The sequence below is a fragment of the Homo sapiens genome, chromosome 4 (genome assembly GCF_000001405.40).
Source record: "Homo sapiens chromosome 4, GRCh38.p14 Primary Assembly".
Taxonomy (NCBI): Eukaryota; Metazoa; Chordata; class Mammalia; order Primates; family Hominidae; genus Homo; species Homo sapiens.
This window is the reverse complement of record NC_000004.12, coordinates 23759891-23783037: the sequence shown is the minus strand read 5'-3', so window position 1 is coordinate 23783037 and position 23147 is coordinate 23759891. Positions and strand designations below refer to the sequence as shown.

Sequence of the window (23147 nt, the reverse complement as noted above, 5' to 3'; positions counted from 1 at the left end):
CCCAGGACTATAGAATTTATTTCTTGTAATAGTAACCAATTAAACTAGTTACCAGTTGGAGAGCATGTTCCAGCACTTAAGTTAATTGAACTGTTGCAAACGAAATATGATTCTAAATTGTTTCAGTATTCCAAATCACTTCATGCGTGTAGATAAAAATGAAAAAAATTACCAAATTGGTTTGGAATGTGCAAATCAAGCATACAGTGCGAACATTTAGATCTATGAACTGATAACTGCAGTAGGTACCTTGAAAAACTTTGTGGGCTTTTTTTTCTTCTTCTTTTGCTGAGCTCTCCTTTGAATTCCCAGAACCACTACTTGATGTGATAGTCAATGAATGGAAGTCAGGTGCAATCAGAAGGGGAACTGTCTGCATCAGGATTTTTCTACCAATTTGCCCAGAAAATAATCTCTTCATTATTCATTTCATGGGCCAGGTAAGAAGGGAATTGTTGAAAGGAGATTTAGCTTAATGGATGAACTGTAGTATTTTATTCCGGGAGAATCTGGCTAGAATTTGGTTTATGAGTCCGGAGGGTATAGTTCTCCTTGGGGTGGTGACCCTTCTGTACCTAGGGCCACTGCACATAAACAATGAGTGTCTAAATTCAAGAAGGAGATGGTTTCGAGGAAAATCTCATGGCAAATGTTGCTACTTTCCTGTCTCCACAGTCTCTCACTCTTCATGTCTCCCCCATCACCCAACATATATGTGGATGACAGTCTGTTTCCATAGCTTTGTATTGCTGTGAATTTTCCAACCCTCTACATAGATCAGGTCAAGGGCTGGAATTGAAGGGGTTGTTTGAGAAGTTTGGATGGGCTGTGAGGCTCTTGGCAGCTTAATGAGTCATCTTGAGTAACAAGTCACACAAAATCCATGACAATTCTCACCTCTCTTCAAGGTTATTCCTTCCCCTCCCAAAGGAAACCTAAGAAAAAGCAGTGAAATACATCAGTTGATTTCATGAGCTCTTTTTGAGCGGATAAAATAATTTGAGTTAGAATACAGGCTGCCATTGTTGTTGCAGTTACAGTTCAAGTTGCCTGGCACCATACAACATTGGAACATAAACCACTGACAAAAACAAACTCATGCAGAATAAACCGACTCGACACAAAGAGCAGAGATATTAATGGACCAGTCAGGTGCGTGACCAAAAGGAAGGCTTGGTCCTATTACAGTTTAGGCAGCTGTATCCATAGTATGAGTTGAAAGATTCAGAGTTGATATTTTTCTCCAAAATATATTCTCCATGGCTTACAAATAATACCGGAAACCCAACATTTTTTAATTCATGTATTTTTAAATTAAGAAAGACAATAAACTGTAGCCATCATCAGTTCTAGCAAATCCTCACCTAGATCATTTTAAGAGGAGAGCTAAGGCTGGGCTTGGTGGCCCACGCCTGTAATCCCAACACTTTGGGAGGCTGAGGCGGATGGATCACGAGGTCAGGAGATCGAGACCACCCTGGCTAACATGGTGAAACCCTGTCTTTACTAAAAGTACAAAAAATAAATAAAAAATTAGCCGAGCGTGGTGACACGTGCCTGTAGTCCCAGCTACTCGGGAGGCTGAGGCAGGAGAATCGCTTGAACCTCCTAGGGAGGCGGAGGTTGCAGTGAGCTGAGATCGCACCACTGCACTCCTGCCTGGACAGAGACAGACTCCGTCTCAAAAAAAAAAAAAAAAAAAAAAAAAAAAGCTAGTTGCATTAGGACAGAAGTGAGAGAAATAAGGTTATCCAAGACCTCACTGCCTGGAGAAAGGCAGGAAGAAGTGACACTAGGTGCTCAGAGAAAGGACAAATAGTGAGTGTGCCATCAATTTCACTATCATGTGGAAATTTCAGTGGGCTCCTTGTTCATTAAACGTTTATTGAACATTCACTTTGAGCCCTGTGCCAGGCATAGAAAGGATAAATAATGTTCTTCCTGCCTTCAAGAAACTTCTAATCAATTGTGGAGACATAGATAGTATTCAACAAACTTTAAAAAGCTCACCTACTGTATCCCAGACATTGTTTTAGTCACCAATGTGGTAGAAATGAATTAATAAGAGACCCTGTCCTCAAGCAATTTGCAGTCTGGTGGATGTACATAAGGTAATTAGTGTATAACTAATAAATGTCTCAAGATCTGTGGGAAAAAAAAATTTACTAAGGAGGGAGGAAGTTCAGTGAAGGCTCTAAGGGATCTATATGGCCTGAGCTGGCCCCTGACATGTAGAATTAGGCAATGGGACGAGCAGAAATAGTACAACTCTCTCTTTTCCTGGATCTCTCCTGGAGTTGAGAGTATCCAAGTTTTTGCTAATCTACCCGCTTATAAACACTTACATTGTTCAATTACTTAGTCCAAGTGTTTGCTCAATAAAAACTTTCCTGACCCATCTCTCCTCACTCCCTGTCCCCAGACTTGTAGAACTCACTCCTTTATTGTCTCTCCTGCACATTAACCTATCACAGCACTGATAATAGTATATTCTAAATTATTTCTTTACCTTTACTTTGCCCTTTGAGTTTGTAAGGATGCTGGCTGACTGCTGGGATGGATGAATAAAGATGGATAGAATTTTCATGTTTACCTAAACAAATCCCCAAATGTCCTGGCTCTGAATCACTTCTAGAATATTCTTCTCAAGCTCCTATAAAATGGCAATTTATGCTTTTTGAGATGGGAAAATGATCCCTGAAGCCTTCTCTGAAGAACTGAATGTAAGGAATACTTGTGTGGTGGCGTTTCCCCTCTCATGTCTCATTCACAGAACACTCCAAAACATAACCATTTTGCTATGACAGAAACATGATTTCTTCATTTGCAGGCAGCCATGATGAGCTTGCTCCTCCTGGACCATACAAAACATACGCTGTCTTTCCCTAGCTTTTGGAGGTTTCCCCACACAGGATAGCTCTGGGGAGGTTGTTTTCTGCTTGTCTTGTTTCTAAGCATCTTTTGCTCATCTTTCCTAGCCGCACGGTTCTAATTTCTGATTGCCTGGATTATATATCAACTAGGCCAAGTTTTTGATTCCTTAGTCACATGGGAAGTTGGGTCAGGAAGGCGGGGGCTGCAAAGGACTCGGGCATAGAGCCAGCTTTCCCAGGAGTTGGCCATGATCGTACTGATTCTGCGTATTGTTTTAAGGGTACACCCCTGGGGGGTCTAGAGATTTCTGCTGATCCTAGGGACTTAGAGAAGCTCAAAACCTAGCGCAAAAGACTCATCTGAGCTCAAATGGATGAAGCCTGGGGATATTTGCTCATGCCTTCCAAATATCTGTCTAAAAACGTCTCATTTCTGCTATTTCTATGGCCAAATGAATTGTCACATCCATGTGCATACCTTACCCAACAATCTGTTTATCAAGAAAGAGGAGCCTGTTGTCTCCCAATTTCTGCTTTCCAGGCGACTGATATTAATTACTTTGCAGCAGGAACAGTTTATCTCTGGCTGAAACCAAAGCAGATGAAAATGCTGCCGTGCTGTAAGATTTATTTATTTATTTTTCTTGAAACGATGAATGGGATGAAGATACTTATCTGAGAGAACAGGTTTCAGGTGGAGCCTCCGTCAGCAGTACTTTGAAATGTATTGTTAGAATATGGCTGATCTGGGTAAGGAATAAAAATAGCGTGTCATAGTGTGACTACATTAACTCATTTCCAACACAGGAAGCTGAGGCCCCTGCACAATGATAGACTTGTCCTGAAAGTAGAAAGCACGACCCCCATTAATGACGATGGACCTAGTTCTCAATTACTGGCATTACTTAAAAGATACCGCTAATCTCAGCATTTTGGGAGGCTGAGGTGGGTGGATCACCTGAGGTCAGGAGTTCGAGACCAGCCTGGCCACTATAGTGAAACCCCATTTCTACTAAAAATACAAAAATTAGCCAGGTGTGGTGACTTGCGCCTGTAGTCCCAGCTACTCGGGAGGCTGAGGCAGGAGAATCTTTTTTTTTTTTTTTTTTTTTTTTTTTTTTTTTTTTTTTTGAGATGGAGTCTCGCTCTGTTGCCCAGGCTGGAAAGTAGTGGCACAATCTCGGCTCACTGCAAGCTCTGCCTCCCAGGTTCACGCCATTCTCCTGCCTCAGCCTCCCGAGTAGCTGGGACTACAGGCACCCACCACCAAGCCTGGCTAATTTTTTTGTATTTTTGTTTTTTTTTTTTTTAGTAGAGACGGGGTTTCACTGTGTTAGCCAGGATGGTCTCGATCTCCTGACTTCGTGATCCACCCGCCTCGGCCTCCCAAAGGAGAATCTCTTGAACCTGGGAGGCGGAAGTTGCAGTGAGCTGAGATCAGGCCTCTGCACTCCAGCCTGGGTGACAGAGCAAGACTCCGTCTCAAAACAAACAAACAAACAAAAAGATATTGCTAATTGCCCCAAAGCTATGGCCCTGCTTTAGACCTAATCTAAGTACCCTAGTACAGAGAACAAAGTTTTAAAATCAACCTATCCCCCTTCAAATTATTAAGATTCTACCCCCAAATGATTTCTTCTGGGTAGTTTGCATGTAGATTCAGCACTGAATCCCCAAGAGGTTGACTGAGAAATAATTAGGACAACCTGACAATGAAATAATGGTCTACCCTAGTTATGGGACTCTAGGGCATTTATTTCTTTACATGTCTTAGCCTCGGTTTCCTCAATAGAAAATAGGAAAAGAAAGCCAACTTGGTGGGGTTCATCTGACCCATTTTTTTAGGTTAATCTATCTAAAAGGACCTGGCAAACAATGGTCATGCTCCGTTTTCATAATTAGTGGCCAAGAAGATAAATGTCTTTGAAAAAATGGAAACTAGTGATAAAATTTGGGGTCAAAGGATACATTTGGTTGGGTGTGGGGCTCATGCCTGTAATACCAGCACTGTGGGAGGCTGAGGTGGGAATGATGACTTGAAGCCAGGAGTTTAAGACTAGCCTGGGCAACATAGCAAGACTCTAACCCTACAAAAAATACAAACATTTGCTGAGTATGATGGTACATGCCTGCATTCCTGGCTAGTTGGGATGCTGAAGCAGGAGGATCCCTTGAGCTGTGGAGATCGAGTTCACAGTGAACCATGATTATGAGACTTCACTCCAGCCTTGGCAACATAGCAAGACTCTGTCTCTAAAATAATAAAACAATTAAAAATAATGCATTTTTAAAAAATCAATTTTATTTTACTTCCCATACACTGTTCTAGACAGTGAGGCTAAGGGAAATAAAAACAACACAAAGACTCTGGCCAAGGTTGGAACCAGAAGCTCTGGGTTCTAGTTCTGGCTTTAATGTTAACCAGCTGCAATTACTTTGCCAATGTGCTTTATCTCTCCAGGATCCATCGGCTACATCTGTAAAGTAAAGAGCCAGACAATTTCCAATTCTGACATTCTATGCAAATGAAAAAATGTACTTTGTGCATCAACCTCTCGTCTTTTCCTGGCCACTCTAGCCACTCCTTTATGTTCTCCTTCATTAACTACTATTCTTCTACTTGAATCTTTCATGCAAATATTCCCTTAGTTGTTTTCTTTAATCATATTTCTTTTCTTTGTCCATGTTTTCCTTGAGATGTATCATTGACTGCAGTAACATTGACTTCCCTAAGACCATGGGAAATGACTCTAAATCTATTTCCCCAACTGAAATCACTCTCCCAAGCTTTTGACTCACTAACTACTGGACACCTCCTTTTGAGTTTTCTCCCAAAGTTTAAACATAGTATGTCTCAAACTGAACCCATTATCTTATTCACAACCAAAATCTACTTATATTCTTCCATTTTCAGAGATTGTCATCAACTCAAATTTCCCTGGCCCAAAGCTTAGGAGTCACACAAGCCCTCCCTGCCATTCACAATCACATCTAATTGATTACCAAGTCTTGTTTATTTTACTTCTTTCAAAGCCCTCAAATCAATCATCTTTCATCTGCATTTTTCCATTTACAACCAATTTCACTATATCTTCCACTTTGCAGTCAAAACATTGCTTCTAAAATGCTAACATTCTATCCTATCTATCTTATCTAGAGCCTACCAACAGTTTCACCTGGTTTCCTGGAATCAAACATAAAGTCTCTAGCATCAAGTATAAGTTTATCCCTGAATGATCCCCACCCTCTCATTCAAAAGTTATTTTCACCACGCTCTCAGCCCCACAGCTCCACTCCTACTGCAATTTTTGCGTTTTGTGGAATAGACTCTATTATATTTCTAAAATTTTGTAAAAGCTGTTCTCTCTGCTTGGAATGCCCTACCTTTCTTTCTCTATCTGAGAGGCTATGGGAGTTTTTTCCAGGGTGGCTAAGAGCCTATGCTTTGGGGTAAGACATACCCGTGATCAAAGTCCAGATCTAGTATTTATAAGCTATGTGATAGTAGGCAGGTTGTTTATCATCTAAATTTTAGTAGTATTACTTTTAAAATGCAAATAACAATACCTGCTACATAATGTCATTGTAAAGATTAAATATGAGGTGTTTAATGTGATGCCAGGGACATAGGAACATCAATAATTGGCAACTCATGTTTGTCCTCTACAGCTAGACTCTATGATCCTCCTCTCTTCTCCTAACCACACCTCTCATGTTCTGCTCTGGAATTTACATTACAGGATGCCAGAGACAGAGTCTATTTTGTTCACATTTATTTAGCACTTGTCATTGTCTGACCCAAGCAGGCCTACCATAGAATTTCTGTTTCCATCAAGATTCAACTAAGTCACTATTTCTTCTAGGAAGTTTTTATTGAACCCCTAATCTTGCTTCAGCATTGGTTAATTACTTAAGTAATAGGCTCTGTTTATACACAGTTGGAATTCTTTCTCTTTCTTCAGTAGAGTCTTGAGTTTCTGGAGGGCAAAGACCGCACCATTTACACCTTTGAATCCCCAACACTTTTCTCAGCTCCATAGAGTAACACTAAAAAAAGCCTGTATGAATGCATGAGTGAAGGAAGGAATGGCTGGATGAGTGATGAATGAGTGGATTCTCTCTTTACCTCTGTTTCTTTCTTTTCCTCTTTTCCCCCTCTTACTATGCTCCATTTAAATTCTGTTTCTAAGAATCAGGTAGAGAATGTGGAAACTAATGGATATCAGGCAGGTGAGGACACACCTTCACCCAGAGGAGACATGTAGACTGCCCCCTGGTGCTCTGCTGAAATTGTATTGATAGTGGCACCTGGGAAGGAAAGGTCCTTTGATCACAGGAGCTTTAGACAAGCTTTCCCCTGAGCAAGGGCATGAGAACAGCACAGACAAGCTGCTGGAGAATTTTGCAGGCCTTCCTGAAAGGAGTCTGAAAAGCTGGTATGTAGGTCAGTGTCCACCCTGGGACTCAGCCCACGGAGGTAAAAATAAGAGCCTGGAAGGACTGAGTTTCCAGATGCCCAGGTGAGAGTGGCTGGGGGGAGATGTTCTGAAAAGGAGGAGGAAAATCTCTTTAATTTGTTCTCTGGGACATGGCCTCCAAACCACCTTGTAGGCAAGGCACAAAGCCGAGATGACCCTGATATGCATCGAAATGAAAAGGTTTGTGTGCAAATCAGGGAAGAATCCTTTCTGCACCTACAGGATGGATGCCAGGGAGTTAACATTTGGAAATCTCAGCTCAGTGCCAGGACGTTGTTTGAAAAGGAGATCTTGGAGCAAATGCCAGTGAGGTACAGAGGAGAAGAAGTGAGGACAAGGACTCCAGGAATTAGCTATTCAAGAATGTTCCAGAAACCTGATAGCTGTTTTCCCTGTCAAAAAGAGAGAGAGAGAGACAGGAAAAAAAAAAAAAAAAGGACATTCAAACGAGCATTCATCGAAGCAGGCTGCTCAGGGTTTTCAAGGGAATTGGGAGGGCAGATGCTACAAGGTTATTGGAGTCAGTGTCAAATGCGAGAACAAAGTGGCAGTGACATGAGCTAAGAAATGACTAAGCACCCGAGCCCTGGAGTAGTAATAGATGGATCCAAATGCCAAGTGAAGCAGTTGTCTTAACTCATTTGAATACTTCTGAAGAGGTGATGAAAAAATAGCAGGAGGGATGGAACCTCTTCTGTTCCGGAATATCCCAAGATGATAAGAGAATGTTGCATAATGTTACTCTGTGATTTGCTTGATCCACCCTTCCCTATGGCTGCTTTCTCTTTAGTTTTAAAATGAAAGTTTTAGGTCCAGCGCACATAGGGTTTCCATTTGATATAGGGGCTGCTGTTCCTAGGATTTGATTCCTACTTGCAGTGTGGGACTCTCCCTCTCCCCATGAAGGGGTGCTCAGAGTTTTAAGAAAAGAGCATGGTTTGGCATTCAAGCAGGTAAGTTTTTGGCTTACATAGAACTTCCTCTTTCTTCCTCTCTTGTTTTTCCTTTTCTCATCGCTATTTATTTCCATATATTGAAAAACCTGAATAATTTGGACCTAAGGGATATAGTGAAGTGAGCAGAGAAAAGTTAAGGAGGCAAAATTCATATATACAAATTGTATTGTCTCACATGGAGTGTTTGTATATGAAGAGTAATTGAGTAGATATTTAGCATATATTAGATGCTTTATAAATACTCCTATCCCTGCTGCTCCCGCTCCTTTTCAGTTCCCTCTTTCATTTCTGCTTTAGTAAGATAAAGATTACTTTGAAAAGAATTATTGTCAATGATAGCCACCATTTACTGAATGCCTCTTCTGCAGCAGACTCTACATTAGAATATTTGTGACATCAGTTATGCCTTATCACAATTCAGAATGGGAGCAGCAACTGTCCCCACTTTACAGATGAGGAAATGGAGCTAACACACAGTAAGTCACTTGCTACTGCTGCTAAAAAGTGAGAGAGCTGGAATGCAAATTTAGGTGTTCTGCACTCTAAACCCACGTTTTGCTTTGTTTTTGTTTTTTTAATGCTGCTGCATTTCTCTCATGGATCATGCAAATGTAGCTTCTTGGAGCAAATACATAGCATTCCTTCAGAACTGGGGCCAGGGCTGTTTAAGTTGGTGAATTACATCTTGGGGTGGCCATCCCTTACCTTTGGCATTCTCCTTCCCACTCCCTCTGTTCAAACAGCAACAAATCATGCTGCCCTTTTAGTCAAGCACCCTTTTATTCTTTCCTGAAACTGTGTCTCACCAGCCCTATCCCTGTCCTTTAGGGGTCCAGGGTCTTAATTAGCTAATTAAATAAACTTATCTTGCCTAATAGCTCTTAATTCCAAAGTCAGTGCCTTTCCTTAGGTACTAAATACAGAGTCAAATAGAGAAATTTCAGTTGGTAAAGGTTGCTGAGAAAGATAAATTTTTGAAGTAGACAAAACTTTATTGCCTCCCAAACCTCAGAGAAGCAGTCACTTATTCTATCCACATGTTTTTGGCATTTCCTTGCTTACAAAACCCCACAGAAAAACTGGGTATTGAGATCTAAGCCTCTAATTGTCTTAATAAGTTTCAGTTAGAAATGACTTTCCATAATTTGTTAAATATTTCCTGAGCACCTCCTATGTGCTAAGCTCTGTTCTAGGTAAGACATTCAGAGGGAAGCAACTCAAGCACCTGGAGATGGCCTATGCTACAGGTTGAGTATCCCTTCTCCAAAATGCTTGGGACCAGAAGTGCTTTGAATTGTCCATTTGGGGGGCTTTAGGATATTTGTATTACACTTGCTGCTTAAGTGTCCCTAATCTGAAAACCTGAAATCCAAAATGCTCCAATGAGCATTTCCTTTGGGCATCATGTCAGCCCTCAAAAAGTTTTGGATTTTAGAGCATTTGGGATTTCAGATATTCAAATTCGGGATGCTAAACCTGTACCAAAAATTTTCCCTCTATCTATCGTCCTCTGTCATTAGAGAATTTTATAGCTTGTTGACCACTTAGGAAGATACCCTTGAAAAGACCAAGTATGTGACTAGGGAGAAAAAAATATTAAGGAAAAAAAAAAGAGAAATATTAGTTTGAAACTGCTCATTTAAAATTACTAGTTTCAATCAATGACAATTTTAAGATATTAAATACATTCTGGAGTAACTTGTCAAAAAATAAAAAGGTGCCATTACTGATATTCTCCAAGGTTTTTCTAATAAGATCAGGGTCAGTGATGGGAAATAAGCTGGAAGATGAATAGAGTGTCAGAATGCAATTGAGTTCTAAGCAGTTACAGCAAGTTCCCCAGTAAACACAGCTTGAGCAAGTTTGTTCCTGATGATGGTTAGGGAGGCCTTTGGTGAAAATGACCCAGAGAACAGCTGCTTTCTCACCGCACAAAATACTGCTGGACCTTCCTTACTTAACCTATTGGAAAGCTTCCATTGGCATTCTCTTGTGAGTTAAGGCAGAGGAGGAGGTAGCCTCATGAACCTCTCTGCTCCTCTGATTCTGCGCTCATTTTGATTTTGTTAAGAGACTTCATTATATTCTTTCCATGGCCCAAGTGGAACCAAATCCAAGCTCCATCTACTAGCTGTGTTTCTTTGGGCAAATTTGTAACTCCTCTAAGCCTCAGTTTCTTCATCTGTAAAATGGAGATAATAGTAATATGGCTAACAATAACAGCAAGCATTGATAAAATGATTATTTCTCTGTTGAGGCACTCTATGTTGGAGATACCTCATCTCATTGGATGCTCACAGTCCCCACAAGGTAAGTGTGATTACACCTACAAATAGCTATTTTTATCAAGAATCATGGTTGCAGTTCAGAAATTACTAGAGGTGACGTTTAAAAAACATCATGGTTATCTTTTTTAAAGTACAAATGACTGTGTGACTTCTATGATAATAATCATTGCCAGAGAGGAGTTTTCATTATTTAATAAGTGGAATGCTTTGGAAGGGCTTCTTCATGTAAATAGATATTGCTACCTTCAACTCCTACTGAGTCCTCTCATGGTAGTAGGTTATAAGACATTTAGTGGGCTGAAAATATATATTACCTGGTAAACAAGTGTGTAGAGCACTTATGTGTGATACTGATTCCTTGTCAAACTCAGAGAGACAGAGAAAGAAAGAAAGAGAGAACAGAGGGAAAGAGACAAAGATGGAAACAAAGAGAAAGAGACAGAGATAGAAACAAAGAGAGAGAGAATAATTTCATATGCCTCATTTGGCACTTGAAAATGAAGCAGGAAACCATGGTGTCCCCACCTGGGACCCCGATTCTGTGACCTGCTTTCTGATATGGTCTGGAAATTCTTAACCCAGTGGAACCCAGGGACACAGGTGTTTCATCTTCAGCAGGGTCCTGTCGGGGCCTCTCTACCCGAGGCCTCAGTCCTACACAGAGTACATTCTCCTTGAAGGAGGAAAGGAAGACTCCCTCCAGCTGGGCTGTCACAGAACTGCTATCTCTTCTCTCCATCCCTGCTGGCCTCCAGTCTTTTCTCTGTTTCACTCTTGTTATGGGAGCTGTGAGAAAAGAAAAATCAATTCTCTAGCTAAGGTCAGCCAGTAAAATTTGCTCCTAGGTCCCCTAACCACGGCCTGATGAATCCAGCCACATTTCTCCCAGGTTACAATTCAATAAAGCCTCCTAATGGCCTTTATCATGATTTCCCTCCACACAGGCTCACAGCAGCGCCTTTCATGCTCCCTTATAAACCTCCTTGTAGGGCAATAATTTTGTCTTTTAGTTTTTCTGGATCATTTTGGAGGTGAATTGGGCCAGGGTGCCGGGGTGAGGGTGAGGGCTGAAAAAACAAAACTTTTAGCCGCATCTGGTTATTCCATTTAGTTTTCGCGGCAAATTATTATAGCATAAAAGTAGCTTCAGATGGTGCTGACTGAGGATGGCTTGGCAGGGTTACTCCCTGGGCTTTACCTGGTCCCTGAGTAGTTATGCAGCATCTTTTAAATCATTCGTTCATTTATGCTAGGCCAAGTGTGAGAAATATTTTATGAGCACCTACCATGTGCTAGAGAATGAAGCTGTGGAGAAGAAAGAGTCCCGGATTGTTGCTCCCAATCCAAGTTGGAGAGACAGACCAGTAAGTAAGTCAGTGAGGACATTAGAATAAAAGCATCACAGAGCCCTTAACTGCTTTTCAAGTGGCAAGAGAAGCCCCCGTTTTCCTCCATAGGGGCAGAGAGCATCAGAGAAAATCTTTCTCGGCATAGCTGCCATGAACTGAATCTTGAATGTCAAGGAAGAAGCAGAAGTAGTGGGCTTGCACATATGCTAAAATTCCATATCTGCCATGTGTTAGCCATGTTACCCTGGACCTATTACTGATCCTCTTAAAATGCAGGTTCCTGAGCCCCAAAATAGGTCAGCCTTGCTTGCAGAGTTTTTGTGAAAGTTAACAAAATATAGGTAAGTGCTAGACTTATATCCTTATATCCAACACAAAGTAGATACTCAAGAGATGAAATTCTATTTTTGTTATTATTATGTATAATAATTTTTATTTATTAAGAGTTTATCAAGTATAAACTCAATAATAATTAGAACTTGAGCACGATCCATTGAAGAAATGAAAAGCTTTCAGTTTCACGGATATTTGCAATGGGTGTAGAGGGGAAGGGTAGGAAATCTGGAGCGGAGACATGTGGATGGTTATGCAGGAGCCAGTTCATTGAGAGCCTTCAGTACAAGGCTTAATGCAGTACAAGGCTGTCATAAACTGGCTCCTGCATTAAGAAGTAGGGATTCATTGAAGGTTAACCACTTTTTAGGAAGGGGGGTGTGTAAGTAATTAGATATCCAGATGATGATGTGGCCCTTATTGCCAGCTATCTGATCCCAGCTCATAAAGCCTTGGTTCACTGACCACCTAGACATGGAAAATAAAAACCCAGGCACCACTTTGCCTCTGAAGAATTCTCAGCAATTTTTCAGAAAGTAAAACATCCTCTGTGAAATTCTTGAAGATTTCTCCCCCTCACTCTGAAATGCCCTGAATTTCAAGCAGCTATAATGTTGCTGACTCATTTCTAGTTTCATAAGGATCTGGGTTGACTTGTCATGTTATAAATCTCCAGTTTATGGAATCGCTCCTACTGCTGTAAGGTAGACTTGGAAGTGTGTCAAAGGGATTCAAGGTGGGCAAAACAGAAGTTGAGCTTCAGTCTCATTATTTTGCTTATTTTTTCAGTGAAGGGAGACCTTTGATGATTTTTTACAGGGGCCATTATTTAATTTTCATCTTAAGGAAAAAATGTCAAGCAGTCGACTTTAAAGATATATGTCTATGTAAGACTGATTGTATTTAAAACAAATTTCCCAGAGCTTCCTTTAATCTATTATAGAATCTTTCTATATCATTCATGGCAAAAGTATGTCAGGCCTTTGATGGGAAGCAAATTTTCTCTTTTTAGGATTTTGGTGTGACTTTGTCTATTGTGGACAGGGACATCTAGCCACTTTAAGAAACTGAACACTCAAGCCTATGGGTTACAAAGAAAATGCAAAGGTATGGAAATGTGCAGTAACAGAAAAAAAGGCTGGACTGAAGACAAATATGGCTTATGTTACAATTTTGTTTTGGTTTGTCTTTTCCTAAGATTCAGCTATATTGGCAAAGCCTACAGAATAAACACCACAGGACTTGAATATAAGTTTGCAAGCAATCATGTATCAGGGCAACTCTTTGCTATGGAGAGTAAACTTGTTTATGTCTTTGCATGAGTTCCTCACTCCTTCCAGAATACACAGATGGATGGATGGATGGATGGATGATGGATTGTCAAGAACAGTAGCCCTTACCTGAAAACATAACTCCTTCACTCAGTGTTATATATATATATATTTAGCTTTCAAAAAGATGTAATCTCAGCTGGGCACGGTGGCTAACGTCTGTAATCCCAGCACTTTGGGAGGCTGAGGCGGGCGGATCAACTGAGGTCAGGAGTTTGAGCCTAGCCTAACCAACATGGAGAAACCCTGTCTCTACTAAAAATACAAAATTAGCCTGGCGTGGTGGCACACACCTGTAATCCCAGCTACTCGGGAGGCTGAGGCAGGAGAGTCACTTGAACCGGGGAGGCGGAGGTTGCCGTGAGCTGAGATCGCGCCGTTGCACTCCAGCCTGGGCAACAAGAGCAAAACTCCGTCTCGAAAGAAAAAAAAAAAGGAAAAAAAGAAAGAAAGATATAATCTCTGAATGCACTAATTATTGTTACTAATTTCTTTGAGGTTATTTTGTATTGTTTTGTTTTGCTTTTCTGCTACACCTTGCTTTACTCCCTTCTCTTTCTGGGTTTAATCCTCCTTGGACTAAAGCCAAGGTCAGAGAGAGTAATATGCAGTGCAACAGCCTGCCTAGTAAAACATATCTCTTTATTAGGAAATTGAGCTTCTACCTTTTACCAAGCTGTGGTTTCTTATAAGAAGAAACGCTGACTCATAATACAGGCAAGGTGATGTGTACATGCAAATACACAATTTTATCTTTTAGGCTGATTTCATTAAACAACAGATCTGTGGTATCTGAGAAGCTGTCAAATACTCAGGCTTGATTTTACATAATTATACAATATAGAATGACATTAGCTCTGTATTTTCTTATTGTTGTATCATCTCTCTCCCTCCCTGGAAATGTAAGCTCCATGGGGGGCGAGAGTTTTGAGGTTTTTGTTAACTAATTATACCATCATCTAGAACGGTGCCTAACACTAATAGAAACTCATTAATTATGTGAATAAATGAGTAACTTAGTGCAAAGTCACCATACTCTCCTTTATTTGTTTCCAGTTTTTGCTTCATGCAGGCTTTTGGTACCTCCCTTGGGGAGGGTTCACAGCATCACCTACAATGAGAGAATTTAGGGTTATTTTTCAAGTTCATGTCATTATAACATGGGGAGCTGGGATTTCTGTGCTCATTCTTTCTCCGTGACATCAGCTGATTTTAAGTCAACCTTTCTATATTTTTTACACTCTCTCTTTTTACTTCTGGCTTGGCTTTAATTAGAAGCCCATTTTTTCTTAGTTTTTTTTTTATGTACATACGTTTATTTCCAAAATGTTATTAAACTTAATTTTATGCTTTATTTTGTTCCCCACAAACTATATTACATTTTCTTTGTACCTTCTCATTTGCTCTTCTCCTATGTAATTCTTTCCTTTCAAGTCACCAAACAGCAATTTGTCTGAGTTTCCTGATAACATCTCTCTTTATTTTGGTATCTTCTGAGGTATATTTTAGCCCTTTTTAAATATAGCCTAGATAAAATAAGTACATTTAATGTACTTGGCAAGAAAGTGTTAAGCATTAACTCCTAATAATTCACTCCTTATTAGTCTCCTTTCAGGTAAGTTGCCAGACAGATTTCAAGTGATAAGTGGAAGGTCACTCAAACAAAGATCCATTTTCCTGGATAGGGGAGGGGCAGAGTTTCAAAAGTCACATGTAGAAGCAAATTCCTTCTAATGACAGCTGTAGTTTCTCCAAAATGATAGATAAATAACCTTTTGTGTAGGGTGAGTAGAGTCATCTTTTTATACATAACAGTAAGAATAGTTTTGACCAAGTTTCAGTGTTCAGCTATAAAGACAAAGGGACAGAGATAAAAGCAATTAATTATCAATATAAAGGACATTGATGGTTTGCTGGCTATGGTAATGAGTACAAGTATCATAACTATGAGGCTTTGAATAAATTCAATGAGATTCTGTGTGTCTTCTTGAGTAGGTAGTCTTGAAATGGCAAAGTCAATTAGGACTGAAGGGAAATAAGAGGGTAGAAAACAAGACTAAAACACTCAGTACCTTGTACCCTAACACCCGCTGCAACAACAAAAAGAAAGATATTATCAATTCCCGGATCAGCATGGATTTGTGTTTGAATCATGAACCATACCTGTACAATGTGTGTAAGTAATTGTTAAAAAATACAGTTATGTGGCCAGAGGCGGTAGCTCACGCCTGTAATCCCAGCACTTTGGGAAGCCGAGGGGGTTGGATCACGAGGTCAGGAGATCAAGACCATCCTGGCTAAAATGGTGAAACCCCCCTCTCCACTAAAAAAACAAAAAAAAAACCCAAAAAATTAGCCGAGCGTGGTGGCAGGCACCTGTAGTCCCAGCTACTCAGGAGGCTGAGGCAGGAGAATGGCGTGAACCCGGGAGGTGGAAGTTGCAGTGAGCTGAGATCGCACCACTGCACTCCAGCCTGGGCGACAGAGCAAGACTCTGTCTCAAAAAAAAAAAAAAAAAAAATACAGTTATGTTTTACATCATATACCAACTCCAACTGATTGGTAGTGGCTGCCTAGAACTTTTTGCATTAGGAAGGATTCTCGAGTATTCAGTGGTATCTGTGAGAAATAATGCTATAATTATCAGCAATGTCTTGTGGGCATCGTACTTGCAAGTGCTAGCATTAAGTGCTATGATTTTTTTGTTTATTCATGTCTAATTATTACTTCATAGTTAATTTCATTTTATTCTGTTTTTTGCTGTTGTTGTTGTTTCTAAATCTGGTATTATAAAATTTACTTCTGGGAAGATTGATGTATCATGATAGCCATCTGGCCCTTGTATTGTTGTTTGCCCAGTTGGGACTATTGCAAAACTGCACCCTGACAGATTTCACGGCAGATAGCGTATATCCCACATGGACTGTGAAGAAACAAGAGACTTTGACCTAAGAAAAGAATAAGATATTCAGTGCAAAATTCACTGTTGATTTTACCAGAGCAGTGATACTAAAGACTTCAACTACATTACAAAGACTCTGTTAAGGATGCTTTCAACAGCAAACAACAGCAAACCCAGTTCACAGTGGTTTAAAGCAATATGAATAACTGTTTATCATATCACAGAAATCAGGAGATAGATTGATTATTGCTGATGTGTTCAGTAGTGTAATAGTGTCAGGATTTGCAACTCTTCAACTCTCTTGGGGTTTTTCTCATGGTTATCAGAGGGATGCCACATCACCAAGTTTCATGTCCACTTTTATGTAATGAAAAATGGGGTAAGGTAAAGAACCAGTGGCATCCCCTTTTGTCAGTAAAGTAAAGTAAAACTTTCACATATGACCTCTGACCTTTATATGTTCTTATTTAGAAGCATGTCATATGGCTAACACCGGTTGCAGAAGCAGCTGGGAAAATATATATTTACCTTTACTGCCCTCTGTGGTGGATGAGACAAGGAGGAAGGGTATTACCAATAGTCTCTGTTACGGTGTACCTCTTAGCCTAGTGGCTATCCATACATATCCTTCTTCCTATAGATATGTTTTAACAGAGGCTATTCATCTTTATTCCATGGAAAATAACCACACATAATAGTATTTATTTTAGGATCTAGCTTTAAGTGCAGTATTGCTCACTATCAGATCCAGATGTGGATGTTCTGGTCTAGTGACTAATAGCTAAAAAACAAGTTATCTGTTCCCTTTATCCTGCATAAAGTGTTGGTGAGCCGGCCAGGTGCAGTGGCTCACGCCTGTAATCCCAGCACTTTGGGAGGCTGAGACAGGTGGATCACCTGAGGTGAGGAGTTTGAGACCAGCCTGGCCAACATGAAGAAAACCCGTCTCTACTAAAAATACAAAAATTAGCTGGGCATGGTGGCACACACCTATAATCCCAGCTACTGTGGAGGCTGAAGCAGCAGAATCGCTTGAACCTGGGAGGCAGAAGTTGCAGTGAGCTGAGATCGCACCACTGCACTCCAGCCTGGGCGACAGAATGAGACGAGATCCCATCTCAAAAAAAAAAAAAAAAAAAAAAATTTGTGAGGGAACAGGATACCTACAATGAAATCTCCATCTTGGGAAAAGGAACAACGGGAATTACTTACAAATTACTGGCCTATAACACACACATTAAACAGCAAAGACTTAGCCCTGGCAGTGGAGTAAATTCCTTTATTAGACAATCTGCCCATCCCTGTCTTTTCTAGGAGGATCCCTAGAATCTGGGAGGATTAGGGAGATAAATATGCTAATTATGCAGATGGCCACACCTGAAGTAAGCTTGGAGAAGATGCTCTTCTGAGGAACGTACAACTTTCCTAGTTTATTTCTTATTCACATAGGTTCAAGGGCTTAGGGGGTTAACAGTCAAAGTCTGGGTTTCTTGAGCAACATCATCCCCTCAAAAATATAGTAATTCTGGGAGTCATTTTGCTTCTGATAATTTCCACATGGGATAATTAAGAGCCAGTACATGTGTAGGCATAGTCTCTAATTGTGAGACGTGCTGTATCCTAGTGCCTAAGTTTAGGGATTAGTCTAATGGACAACACCTTGTGGAGATATGAAAAATATAGGCTTGTATTGGAAGACATTATTGGAGAAATTCTTTGTTAAGGAGCAGATGTTAAATATTGGAATGTTTTTACACTTCATGGTAGGTAGCTGCTTACCCAAACTAGCAATCTGTACCCTAAGATCTCACTACTAAAGGTTTAATGCTTGTCAAAGTTTAGGGGCCTTCAAGGATCCATCTCCAGCCTTGTTGCCAACATTCATTTGATTCTTCATTGCCTCCACCTTACCAGGTATTAATAAATATGAAATATTTCATATATCAACTCTGGCTTATACTCAGGGCAGCAGAGAAGTATGTTCCTTAGTATGGGGGATCCTGGGACAAAGGCAAACATTTTCCGAGAAAATGTCACATTAGGAAAATGCTAATCAAAGCCTTAAAAAGGACAACATCAAGTTGTAAATGCCACTTACTTATAAGAAAGTTATAAAAAATAAAGAGAAGGTTAAAAAATAGATTGGTTAGGCCGGGCGCGGTGGCTCACTCCTGTAATCTTAGCACTTTAGGAGGCCGAGGCAGGTGGATCATGAGGTCAGGAGATCGAGACCACCCTGGCTAACACGGCGAAACCCTGTCTCTACTAAAAAATACAAAAAAAGTAGCTGGGCGTGGTGGCGGGTGCCTGTAATCCCAGCTACTGAGGAGGCTGAGGCAGGAGAATGGCATGAACCAGGGAGGCGGAGCTTGCAGTGAGCCGACATAGCGCCACCGCACTCCAGCCTGGGCGATAGAGCAAGACTCCATCTCAAAAAAAAAAAAAAAAAAAAAAAAAAAATAGATTGGTTAGAGACAAAGTATGAATTGGTAGAAAGTGGATTCAGGAGATAATTATGCTAATGTGGACTAATCACTGTGGCATTCCTCTCCTGTGTGTCTTGGCACAGTGCTCTGACCAGGGGCAGGCCCTTAAGCCATTGACCCATCTTCTATACAAGCCAGACAAGGAAAGGTGAGAAGCAGAAGCCCATTTAATCAAGTACCACCAGTGTAGGCGGGCAAGGGACCAACGACTAGAAGGTCAGCAAAAGCAAGGGGGGAGCAAAAAGGTGCCACGGGCCTCAGAACACAGGCAGGGTCCAGAGTTGAAGAGGTTAGAAAGTTGGCAGAAACAACTCTAGTAATAAGGCTTGAACTTTGATCCTAGGGCAGAAAGTGCTCCATTGTACTCTATTACTACCTGCTGAATGCCAATGAGTTAGTTAGGACCACAGATGCTGGGCACTGTCAGAAAGTCTCAAAGCCTTTTTATCATTAAGGCCAAGACAGAGATATCAGCAAGAACTTTTCCGGATTTTACTAGCACACTGTTTTTTAATTTTTAATTTTTATCCATTTATTGTCATATTTTTGAGAATATGACATTATGATTATTAACAATAGCTGAGATTGTTGGAGGGAGTGCTTACAATATGCCAGACACAGTTTTTAGTGCACTACATATAATAAGTATCTCATTTAACTTTCATAATAATATGAGGGTTTTTTTTTTGTTTTAATCATCCTCACTTCATAGAGAGGATACAAGTTTCCATCCTCTTCCTTTACATTCTTTGTACAAACTGTACAGTTTATTAACCCCATATTAGTCAGGGTTCTCTAGAGGGACAGAACTAACAGGATAGATGCATATAGAAAGGGGAGTGTATTAAGGAGTACTGACTCACATGATCACAAGGTGAAGTCCCACAATAGGCTGTCTGCAAGCGGAGGAGCAAGGAACCAGTCTGAGTCCCAAAACCTCAAAAGTAGACAAGCTGACAGTGCAGCCTTCAATCTGTGGCTGAAGGCCTGATAACCCCTTGTTAACCACCAGTAAGTCCAAGACTCCAAAAGCTGAAGAACTTGGAGTCTGATGTTCGAGGGCAGGAAGCATCCAGCAAAGGAGAAAAGATGAAGCCTGGAAAACTCCGCAAGTCAAGTCCTTCCACTTTCTTCTGCCTGCTTTATTCTAGCCACACTGGCAGCTGATTAGATGGTGCCCACCCAGATTAAGGGTGGGTCTGCCTCTCCAAGTCCACTGAATCAAATGTTAATCTCCTTTGGCAACACCATCTCAGACACACCCAAGTACAATACTTTGTGTCCTTCAGTCTAATCAAGTTGACGCTCAATATTAGCCATCACAAATCCACCCCTTGTCAACTTCAACCCATACACACTTCCTGAAATAATACATAATCTTCAAATAAAAACAATAATAAGGTCATAATTATGCCTAACATTATACAGCTTTCCTTTGTACAACTGGAAGTGCACTAATCCTTAACCTAAGTGCTATTACATAAAGTTAACAACACTTAAACGTTGATATGAAGTCAATAAATCTTATGTCACATGATAAAGGCAAAAGAAAGGAAATAAAATGAAGACTTTTCTTAATATAATTGTATACGTGCACGAATAAGTTCTTAACAAAATAAAGAGGAAATACTCATGACAATTACATTCCTCGTTTCTGCAACTGGTCATGTGGTCATAGCTGGTATTGATGACTACCTTCTACTACCCATTCTGTAGTCATAGCTGGTATTGATGATTACCTTCTTCTACTACCCTTCTTCTACCCATTTCCTTTGCCTTCAGCAAACACCTCAGCAGGTCGTGGTTTTTTACCTGGTGGAGTGACCCAAACCTTTATTCCCAAAGAGTCTGGGCCATTTGTAATCCTGCCTGGATTGGGTTGTTGTAGGTTTTCATTGATCTTAATTACAGGGCATGGTAATACTAAGAGACACCCTAGGGGATCTCCTGTATTCTACACATACTCTTCCTTACCTCCATTGTGGAGTAGTAGACTGCTTTTATCTTGATAATCTGGGTCAATCACCCCAACCAGCACTGTAACTCCCTTCTTGGCCATTGACTTAGAGGTAGGAGGAGCCCAAAGTGGCCAGTGGCAATCTTAACTTCCAGTTTAATGGAATCATTGTTGTGTCTCCTGGTGGCAGCATTCCTCTTTCTAGAACTAAGACCTCTAGGCCTGCAGAACCTAATGTCGCAGGAAGAGGAAGCAAAATTTTTGCTAATGGGTCATAGGGGTGATGGTGAGTGGTGCCACTTCCACTTCCACCCCATGATTCTGGACCCATGAATCCAGGTTATGGGACAAACGGTACCATATATTGGATGCTGATTCAGAGAATACACAGCCTTCTGGAGAACTTTGCCCCAGCCCTGCAAAGTATTGTCACCTAGTTGATGTTGTAATTGTGACTTCAATGGGCCATTCCACAGTTCCATCAATCCAGCTGCTTCAGGATGATGGGGAACATGGTAAAACTAGTGAATTTCATGAGAATGAGCCTACTGCCACACTACTTTAGCTATAACCTGAGTGCCTTGGTCAGAGGCAATGCTGTGTGGAATTCCATGATGGTAGATAAGGCATTCTTTGAGTCCATGGATGGTAGTCTTGGCAGAAGCATTGCATGTAGGATAGGCAAACCCATATTCACAGTAAGTGTCTATTCCAGTGAGGATAAACCACTGTCCTTTCCATGATGGAAGAGGTCCAATATAATCAACCTGCCCCCAAGTAGCTGTCTGATCACCGCAAGGAATGGTGCCATATCGAGGGCTCAGTGTTGGTCTCTGCTGCTGGCAAATTGGGCACTCAGCAGTGGCTGTAGCCAGGTCAGCCTTGGTGAGTAAAAGTCCATGTTGCTGACCACATGCATAACCTCCATTCCTGCTACCATGGTCACTTTGTTCATGGGCCTATTTGGAATGATAGGGGTGGCTGGGGAAAGAGGCTGAGTGGTGTCCACAGAACAAGTCATCCTATCCACTTGATTATTAAAATCCTCCTCTACTAAGGTCACCCATTGGTGAATATTCACATGGGATACAAATGTCTTCCCAGTTTTTGACCACTCAGAGAGGTCAATTCACATACCTCTTCCCCAAATTTCTTTGTCACCAGTTATCCAACTATGCTTCTTCCAAGTCCCTGACCACCCAGCCAAACCATTGGCTACAGCTCATGAATTAGTATATAATTGCACATCTGGCCATTTCTCCTTCCATGAAAAGTGCACAACCAGTTACACTGCTCAAAGTTCTGCCCAGTGGGAAGATTTCCCTTTGACACAGTCCTCCAGACCCCAGAATGGTAGATCCACTGATAGCTTGCACCGTGTACCTGGAAAAGTCACAGACACTCAACATCAGCCCTTGAAGGCAACCAGGATGGGGGCTGTGCCACAGGGGAGGAGCTGCCCAAGGCTGTGGGAACCCACCTCTTGCATCAGCATGACCTGGATGTGAGACATGGAGTCAAAGGAGATAATTTTGGTGCTTTAAGATTTGATTGCCCTGCTGGATTTGGGACTTTCATGGAGTGTGTAGCCCCTTCATTTTGGTCAAATTCTCCTGTTTGGAAGAGTTGTATTTACCAAATGACTGTACCCCCATTGTATCTAAGAAGTAACTAACTTACTTTTGATTTTATAGGCTCATAGGCAGAAGTGACTTGCCTTATCTCAGATGAGACTTTGAACTGTGGACTTTTGAGTTAATGCTGAAATGAGTTAAGACTTTGGGGGACCATTGGAAAGGCATGATTATGTTTTGAAATGTGAGGACATGAGATTTGGGAGGGGCCAGGGGCAGAATAATATGGTATGGCTGTGTCCTCATCCAAATCTCATCTCAAATTTTAGCTCCCATAATCCCCAAGTGTCATGGGAGGGACCCTGTGGGAGGTCATTGAATCATGGGAATGCGTTTCCCCGTGCTGTTCTCATGGTAGTGAATAAGTCTCATGACATCTGATGGTTTTTAAAGGGCAGTTCCCCTGAACATGCTCTCTTGCCTGCTGCCATGTAAAACGTGCGTTTGCTCCTCCTTCATCCTCCACCATGATTGTAAAACATCCTCAGCAATGTGGAACTGTGAGTCCATTAAACCTCTTTTCTATATAAATTACCCAGTCTCAGCCATTTCTTTATAGC

At 41.0% G+C, this 23147-nt stretch overlaps 2 long non-coding RNA genes across 3 annotated transcripts in view; both read right to left on the bottom strand.

Moving 5' to 3' along the window:
• PPARGC1A-AS1 (PPARGC1A antisense RNA 1) lies at window positions 1-13944 on the bottom strand. The gene is made up of 3 exons (XR_925475.3): window positions 13902-13944; window positions 3357-3619; window positions 1-935 (listed from the first exon to the last, which is right to left on the bottom strand). It is a non-coding gene; the product is annotated as a PPARGC1A antisense RNA 1 (long non-coding RNA).
• Window positions 13945-13990: 46 nt separating this feature from the next.
• The window catches only part of LOC105374528 (uncharacterized), a 50374-nt gene continuing 41217 nt past the window's right edge, over window positions 13991-23147 (bottom strand). For both annotated transcript variants that reach the window (XR_925476.3, XR_925477.3), the window contains one exon: window positions 13991-14719. This is a non-coding gene — a long non-coding RNA (uncharacterized LOC105374528). The remainder of the gene's footprint in view (window positions 14720-23147) is intronic.